The sequence below is a fragment of the Homo sapiens genome, chromosome 2 (genome assembly GCF_000001405.40).
Source record: "Homo sapiens chromosome 2, GRCh38.p14 Primary Assembly".
Lineage (NCBI taxonomy): Eukaryota > Metazoa > Chordata > Mammalia > Primates > Hominidae > Homo > Homo sapiens.
The window spans coordinates 126,463,650-126,472,468 of NC_000002.12; positions in this window are offsets into that span (position 1 = coordinate 126,463,650).

Below are 8,819 nucleotides of genomic sequence, written 5' to 3' on the forward strand. Positions count from 1 at the left end.
AAATGCTAAAAGCCTGGACATGTGAAGTGACCTTAGAAAAATAAAATGTTTTTATTTTGTATATTTTGTATTTTTCAAGCCAACAACTCTTCATTTTCTCTACAGAATCTTTTTTTTTAAGAGTAAATGTCTTTGTATATTTTTTTTTTCATTTTACAGGAACTAACTCTAATTCTACCTTCTTTCAGATCTTGGTTTACTGTTAAAAATAAATGCCTTTCTTTAAAGTAACCTCCCACCTTTTGTGCCGTGCTTGGAAAAGGAAAGAAGAAAGTTGGCTATAAAGAAAACAAAGACTTTGCCTGGCATGAGGTGGGGATGATTTAAAATGCTTCCACCCAATTGAGAAGGAAACCTATGGCCCTTTAAAGCTGAACTCCTGGAACCTGCATTTCACATAATTGGAATCAGTGTGAATATCACACGCAGCAAAATGAGAAAATGTCACTGACTCATCCTTCTTCAGTGAAGAAATGCTTGCCTTTCTTTCTAAAGGCTTGAAAAGGACCCGCTCAGCAGAGAGCAATTTTTTTCTCCATTCTCTTACTTTTGAGTCCTATTTTCCTATACCCTTGCAGAAAAGAAGCCTCAAATCAGAAAAAGATACGGAGCAGTATTGCCTCTGCATTTTCTTTATAAAAGTCCATTCATAAAATACCAGAGGACACCTTCTGCATTAATGAGAGTATTGCCTACAACTGAACCTCATAGTGAGGAATGAGCAAGTGAGGGTGCAGGGTTGCCCTGGGGTGAGGCTTGTTTTGGCCAGGACCATGCCCTCTGACAGCTCCCTGAGTGACAGTTAAAACTTTAAAATCCATAAGGTGACTCACAGCTCAGTGCGCATATGAGAAGGGTGGCTCAGGAAGCCAACTTCCCAGGTTTAATTTGGTTTCACTTCTAGTTTCCAGATAACATATGGAATGCCCAGTTAAATTTGAATTTCAGATAAACAACAAACGTTGTGCGGGATGCACTCAAACGGTCAGCCCTCAGTATCTGTGAGTTCTGTATCCATGGATTCAACAAATCATGGATGGAAAATACTCAGAAAAAAAATAACGATACAATAAAAAATATTACAAACAAAAAATACAGGCTAACAACTATTTACGTAGCATTCACATTGTATTAGGTATTATAAGTAGTGGAGACATGATTTGAAGTATACGGGGAGATGTGCATAAGTTATGCACAGATACCACACCGCTGCCTATCAAGGTCTTGAGCATCTGTGGATTTTGGTATCAGTGAGGGGGTGGTTAGTGGCAGGAGGCGGTCATAGATCCATTCCCCATCGATATCAAGAAAGGACTGCAGTAGAAAGTTATACATTGTTATAAACGTCATATGGCTAAATCTGACAACACTAGTTTGCCAATCATTTGCTGTATGACCTTAACGTCTCCATGCCTTGATTTCCTCACAGGGATAATATCCCCAAGTAGAGATAACAATAACAATGCTCTCATGAGAGGGTTGTTACAAAGATTAACTGAGTTCATGTTTGCAAAGTACCAGAATGGTACTTTGGCATGTCGTAAGTATTACCTAGATGTTCATTAACAAAAATGTAAAATGTATTTGTGGAAAAAATAAAAATCTGAGGCCAGATCAGACGAACAGAGACTTCAGCTTTACAAATTAATGCATCTTAGTCTTAGCATCTTTGAGACTGGCAGATGGATCGGCTGAAAGGCTTAAGCCATGGCAGAGCTGAACTTGCAACCAACAAGCACTAGTAGTGGTGAATGCCCCAGAGCTGGAGCCACAAGAGCCATAAAAATAGTCCTTGAGCCATCAATGCCCTCTCACCCCGCCAACTCACCAAAAGTGGTTTGTCCTGGTTGAGAGCAAAGCCCCATCAAAATTGGTTCTTACAAAGGGAAAGAGGGAGAGTTAGCCTAGAAAGGTGTTTGAATTTGAGGTTTAGTTTTTTAAGGATGAAAATGGAAATATGGGAGAAAGAGCAAAGATGTTATTGGATTAAGATGGTGTCTATGGTTCTTTTGTCTGGATCTTCTCAAGGGGTGCACATAGTGCCCCGAGTGGCTGCGGAACCCAAAATGCTTGGAGTTCTAAGGGCCATAATGGACAGGGAAGAGTGAGACATCATCTCTGACCTTTTAATCCAGCCTGCTGGCCATTGCTGCAAGATCAATACATTACTGTTCCCAAACTACACCTTCAAATAAGCAGTGACATAGTCCCATCCCTGGGAATGAACAGTTAGGGGTATTGTGGGATCGTAGCCGAGAAAATACCATGTGTCACGAGTCAGAGGCAGCAACAGGACAGAAATAGGAGAGTGGGCAGCCTCCTCACTGGCCAGGAGGACTACAGACTCAGTGAAGTGGAGTAAGCAGCTGGTGGGGACATGTAAGTATTCGTTATTGCAGTCCTATATGGTGGCCCCGGAGGGCGCTTGGGCTTGGCTCCTGTTCACAGGACAGAGTCAGCCACAGCTGATGCAGGAAGCTAGGTAGACAAGACATTGGAATACTTGGTATTTTCCATTTAGCTTTCAATTGCTTCCTGCTGTGGACTGGGTTTTCCTTGTCTCCCCTGCCCAACTTGCCTTGTTTAACCTTGTTAATTTCTATCAATTCTGGGAAGGGAAGGATGTCCTCATCCTTATGTCCATCCTGTGCTAATTCCTACTTTCATAACTCTCTGGGCTTGCTCTCTGACTGTGGAATGTGTGAAAGAAAATGCATCAAGGATCCAATAGGACTCTTAGCCCCTCCCAAGGTCTCCAGGATCTTGCCTTCAGGTGGGCTTCTCTGTGCCTGCCTGTGAGACAGGTGAGCCTGGGCCTCACTGGGTCAGGTGGTGGTGCTCCTCCCTCAGTTCTGACCTGTTCAGTCTTTCTGAGCTCTCCAAACGTTTCATGAGCATCTATCACATGTCTGGCCCAATGTCCAATACTGTAGGCTCAGTAACATGTGACCTAATATTTATCAGTGGCTTAGCATACGCCAAGCCTATAACGTACTTTATCTGCATTATTTCATTTTTGTTTTACAACAGATTTCTGAGGTAGATGTAATTATTGATCCTATTTACTGAACCCTGCTTTATAGGAGCTCATCAGCGAGGAGAAACAGCTAATAACAAAACACTGTGGATATTACATTCAGTCAAAGAAGTATCTGGGCACACTTGATTGGCAGCCCCTGCTGGGCATTGAGTTGTACAACATTGGACAAGACAGGCATAGTGTTGGGCCCCAGGTACCCCTGGGTCAGCAGGAGCAGATAAGCAAGGACAAAACAGCCACTGTGGGGGCCTTCCCGTGATTTGTGGAAAAACATCATAGGGCCAGGGTATCTCATCCAAGCTAAGAGTACATTTTCTGAAGAAAACAAGCATTCTAGTTTCTAATGACTGAGTGACAACCCTTCCCAACCTTGAAACAACAATGTCTTATTATCTCTAGTGGCTCTGAGGGTTCCCCAGGCTTGGCGGGCAGTCCTCGTCTTGCTTGGAATCTCTCCAGTCATTGCACTTCGATGCTGGACACAGCTGGAGATACCTGAGGTCTCGACCTGGCTGAACTCTGCGATGACTCCCTCACTCACAGCTCTGACCCTAGGCTGGCCAAGCATCCTCACCTGCGTGTGACCTCCCCACATGGCTGGCTGGACTCCTTCCGAGCACAGTGAAGGGAGGGGTACCTCTGCACGATGCCAACTGCCACCAGAACCTGCATTCCAAGACAGCATTTTAGAAAGTATAGGCATCCATGGCCTAGGTTGGAAGGCACTCAGAGGAGCATATGCCACATTCAGTGGGGTGTAAGTGAACCCCAAGCCAGCCAAGATTGAAGAAGGGGTGCAGCCTACAAAAGGCATGATTGCAAAGAGGCTGGTTCATCAGGTACCACGGGGACTCTCCACCACAGGAAGGGGCAGGGGGTGTGACTCGTGCATGAAAAAAAACCTGAGTTCCGGAGCAATTATAGGAAATGCTGTCATTCACCGAAGATCTACTCATTAGGCAACAGACACTTCACAGTTCTTATTTCTAGTAATAACAGAATAGTTTTAGAAATATAAAACATTCATATATTATACATAATAAAATACATTTCTAATTATGGCCTTCTTACATAGTAGGTATCACAACTTTTTGTTTTAAAAAGTGGAAACTCAGATTCAGAGAACTGGAGTGACTGGGCTCACATTTCCTTGTGAGCAGCCACAGTGGGATCTGAAACTGAAACAAGGTGAGTTTGACTCAAGCCACACAGAGGTCACCTCTGCCTCAGTGATCAGCAAATCATTCTTAAAGGAGGTGATGCCTGGCTGGGCACGGTGGCTCAGGCCTGTAATCCCAGCACTTTGGGAGACCAAGGCGGGTGGATCACCTGAGGTCAGGAGTTCAAGACCAGCCTGGCCAACATGATGAAACCCTGTCTCTACTAAAAATACCAAAATTAGCTAGACGTGGTGGCAGGGACCTGTAATCTCAGCTACTTGGGAGGCTGAGGCAGGAGAATTGCTGGAACACGGGAAGCAGAGGTTGCAGTGAGCTGAGATCTCACCATTGCACTCCAAATTCCGGGCGACAAAAGCAAGACTCTGTCTAAAAAAAAAAAAAAAAAAAAGAAATAGGAAAACTGCATTTGAACAATTCCTGGTTTAGAGTCTTTACTCTGCTCTTGTTGCTAAGGTAGGAAGTGCAGGGCCTAGGTGGAGCTTAGGGTGCACAGGAAGGCAAGGAAAGCTCCTGGAGGGCGATGCACTCCAGGCCACATCACAGAGTCTCCATCCGTAGCAGCTGAGAGTCAGAGGACGATTTTGAGTAGGCAGGTAGCATACTCTAGTCCTCTAGGCCTTCCTGGAGAGGTGTGAAGGTCTAAGCTCAGTGGGATCCAAGCTCTTCTCTTGATAGACAGAGGGACAGCCCTCTGCTGTGGCTGAACAGACTGACCTGGAAGGCAGCAAGTGTGCTCAGTCATAACACCTCCTCATGTGTTTAGCACCAAACCTGCCACACATTGGGTGACGATTGAATAATGGATGGATGGAGGCTTTATATAAATAAAAATTAACATCATTGGCGGCTTTTAAGAAAGAAACCTGCGGACAAAATCCTGCATTGTCCTTTCCTATGAGGCCAACCAGAGCCATCCACTGCCTCTGCTTGAAGTGCTGTGTGATCACATGGCCAAGCTCCGTGCCTCTCTTTCTGACTTTCTCTGCTTGCATCAGACCCTCCTAGGTTGGCTGCAGCTGTTGCCTATGCCAGCAGCCTGCCTTGAGGTTCTCTGTGTTTTTCTGCCTCCCCTCTCTTCTCAGGACACACAGTCCTCCTGGACAATGGCCCTCAACCCTTTGGTTAGCCACCACTGTGAGCTACTGAAGGACACTTCTCAAGTTGATATCCCCAACCCTGACTCTTCTCCTTGTCTCTTCCTCCTGAGGTCTCAAATGCACTACCCAAATCTGAATTCATTGTCTCCCCCAAAATCTTAATGGGTTCTTCTTAGCTGAGACTATGGTGCCACCATCTAGTAAGTCAGGAATCTGACAGCTAGTCTCAGCTCTCCGGTTTGATTTGCTATCACATGACATTAGTCATGGAGTCACAGCACTTTTGCCTTCACTTGCCCTCTCCTGGCCAGTGGTCCCACCACTCATCACCCTCCATACACCCTCATCACTTTGCAGCAGCCTCTCTCCTGGTTTCTCTGGCTCCAGGTTCGACCCTCTGCTTCGTCTCCAAATGATATCCTTCTGAAAGGCAGACTCTCTCATACCACTCCAAGATTCAGTAGTTTAATATTGTCATGCTAAAGCTCTGTAGAATAATTTTTGCTCATGACCAATGCCCACCATTCTCCCTGCACACACCTGTTTGCTTGGGCCTCCTACAAATCCTCAGATGCTACTCCTCCAGCCCCCTCAGATCCAGCCTGACTTGCTTTTAAGCCTCTGTACCCTCTGTTCCCTGATTCCTTCTACTGGGAATAATCCTCCCTCTCTCAAATCCTGGGTGAATACGCAACCCTTCAAGAAGCACCTTTGGGAGGCCGAGACAGGTGGATCAGGAGGTCAGGAGTTCGAGACCAGCCTGACCAACATGGTGAAACCCCGTCTCTACTAAAAATACAAAAATTAGTTGGGCATGATGACGTGCGCCTATAATCCCAGCTACTCAGGAGGCTGAAGCAGGAGAATCTCTTGAACCCAGGAGGCGGAGTTTTCAGCAAACCAAGATCACACCACTGCACTCCAGCCTGGGCGACAGAGCAAGACTCTGTCTAAAAAAAAAAAAAAAAAAAAGAAGCACTTTCAGCAGTGGAAGTCAGTGTTGCCCTCCTCCCTGCCCCACTCTATGTTGTGATCACAGTACCTTCAAATCAATTGACGGTGACAAGAGATACCTTTGCCTGTCAGAGCCATCCAGAGAAGTCAAGAAAATCCCATTCGAAAAGAATTACTTTCCAGCCTGTTTCTTAATTCCTAAAACACCTTTCCCATTCACACACTTGCCCTTATAGAAGGAAGTCCATGACTTACATCCATGCCTATGGGTGCAAAATAACCTTTGCTGTAAGCAACCTTGGCGGATGCAGGGAACAGGGACACTGCAGGTGCTCAGAGAAGGGTACAGAATGCAAAGATTGGTCATTGCAGGTGTGCTCAAGGCCACACTGGGTGCTTTCTCACCTTCGAAGCCCATCATACCAAGCCCAGGGCTGAGCTTGCTATGGATGCCCAGCCACATTATACAGTGTGATAAAACTGTTAAACTGCAAACCACACACCTTCTATTCCCAGGGCAGGATACCCCAGCCACTGGAATTTTATCTGTAAAGAGATCCCCTGCTGGCCTGTTACCATTGCTCAGGGTGCCTCATTTCCAACCCACGTGTCCAAGGATCCCTGTTCCAAATACTCCAGCAAGGGTGAGGGATCCTGGGGAACTGGCATTTGGTAAAAGTAGATTCTATTCCTTCACACTCCACTAGGCACTATCAACAAGCACTGTCTCATTTAAGCCTCTCTCAATTTGAAATGTGCTTATCTGCCATTATTCAGGGAACCACAAAGGTTAACCGACTTATTATCATCACATGACTTGTGACCTAGCCAGACGCCAGCCCAGGTCTCTGGGACTCCAGGCATCAAGTTGATCCTACTCTGCCACGCACGCCTCTCTGACTTGGTACCTGACGCCACAGAATATTCATTCCAGCTCCCTGTGACCTTTTCTACATTAACTTTCTTCTAGCTTCAGCAATGATGCTATTACAGATTTCTATTATTTGCAGATACTCACTGTGGGTGATTTCTCTAGAAAAAACACCCTGTCTCTGCTATGATAAGGTATGTGTACCAAAAGCTTGCGATTTGCTTTTTCACCTTTCTTTGTCTTTTGACAGTGGATATTTTTCTAAGCCCCACTTTTCTGCTTGTATTAACAGCATCTTATTTTTAGAAAATTACTTCTTAGGGTTCTTCTGATGCACCAGAAGCCTGTCCTCTCAAATGTGATTTCCATTACACCATCTTTCCAAAAGATGTGAAAGGGCAGGAGATAAGTAGTAGTTTGAAGTGCCAGAAAGAATCCTTTAATTGAGCAACAAAAGAGGAGGTTTTGATGCACTCCTCAAGCACAGAGTCCAGAAAACGAGAAGCTGGGGCATTTGCAAAGAAAAAAAAAGCCAAGTCGGTTCCTCACAAGCAGCCACTGGGGAGGAAATCTCAGTTTTGCAGAGGAATGAGGAGTGGAAAGGTGCCCTAGAAAAATACCTGGAAGAAGGTTCTGGGAACCCAGATTAGCTGGCATTTCCAGTATTCCCCATGAGTCAATAAAATCCAGAATCCGTGAAAGTGCTTTTATGGATAGGTGGGGGTGATAGAAACCTCTGTAGGTATCCATTTAGCTATTTTTAGATTTTTTCTATTTTTATATTACATTACGAATCAAGATTTCAAGATATTTATGAGGATACGCACTATACAAGCAAAAGGACTGAGCATTATGTGTGTCACACATAGGGGCTTAATAAATATGAGTTTGAGTGAATGAATGAATTAATTAATTAATGGAGATGACTGCAAGAAGAGACCAGGTGGTATGGATGGAAACCTAATGAACTGCCACACACTGAACCAATTTGGCTACCAACTTTTTGGAAGGCCAGTGTGGAAAGAAAAACAGGACCCTGGAATTTAGCCTTGATTCTCCTGCTGACCAATTTAGGGTCTGGGGCAGCTCCTCTCTGGGTGTCGATTTCTTTACTCATTGCACAACACTCCTGTGAGCCTCTGGCAGGTGGGACCTGCCCCCCATCCTCATCTTCCCCATCAGAAGTGGCTCCAAGTCCCTCGGTAAATGTTTGTTGAATGAATACTCTCCATTCATTTTACAGCCAAGCCTTCTGTCTGACATACTTCACACAATTTACATTGTCCCTTCCCCTTCATGACACTGACCACAGTGTAGAGCCCGCCTCCCCTGCGGATGAGATGGGACGGGACACCCAGCACCCATCACCCACTCACCGGGCCCTCCCCAGGCTCTGACTCAGGAGCTCCCCGTGGCACACACCTCATGGCTCTTCTGCAGAAGCTGACATCTCCAAAGAGATGTGGAAAAGGACACTGGGACACGGATGCTGGAGCCACAAAGTGCTTTTCTGGGAAGCTGGGGGGAAAAGCCTTGGGAAAACACACCTCTTTAATAGTCCCTGAGTCCCTGATTCCTTTAGGATTGTTCTCCGTGCCCACCCACCAATAACTCGCTTGGCATGTGCTGAAATGGAATCACAGGGCCATCTAATGCCCACTAGTGTTAATGCCAAC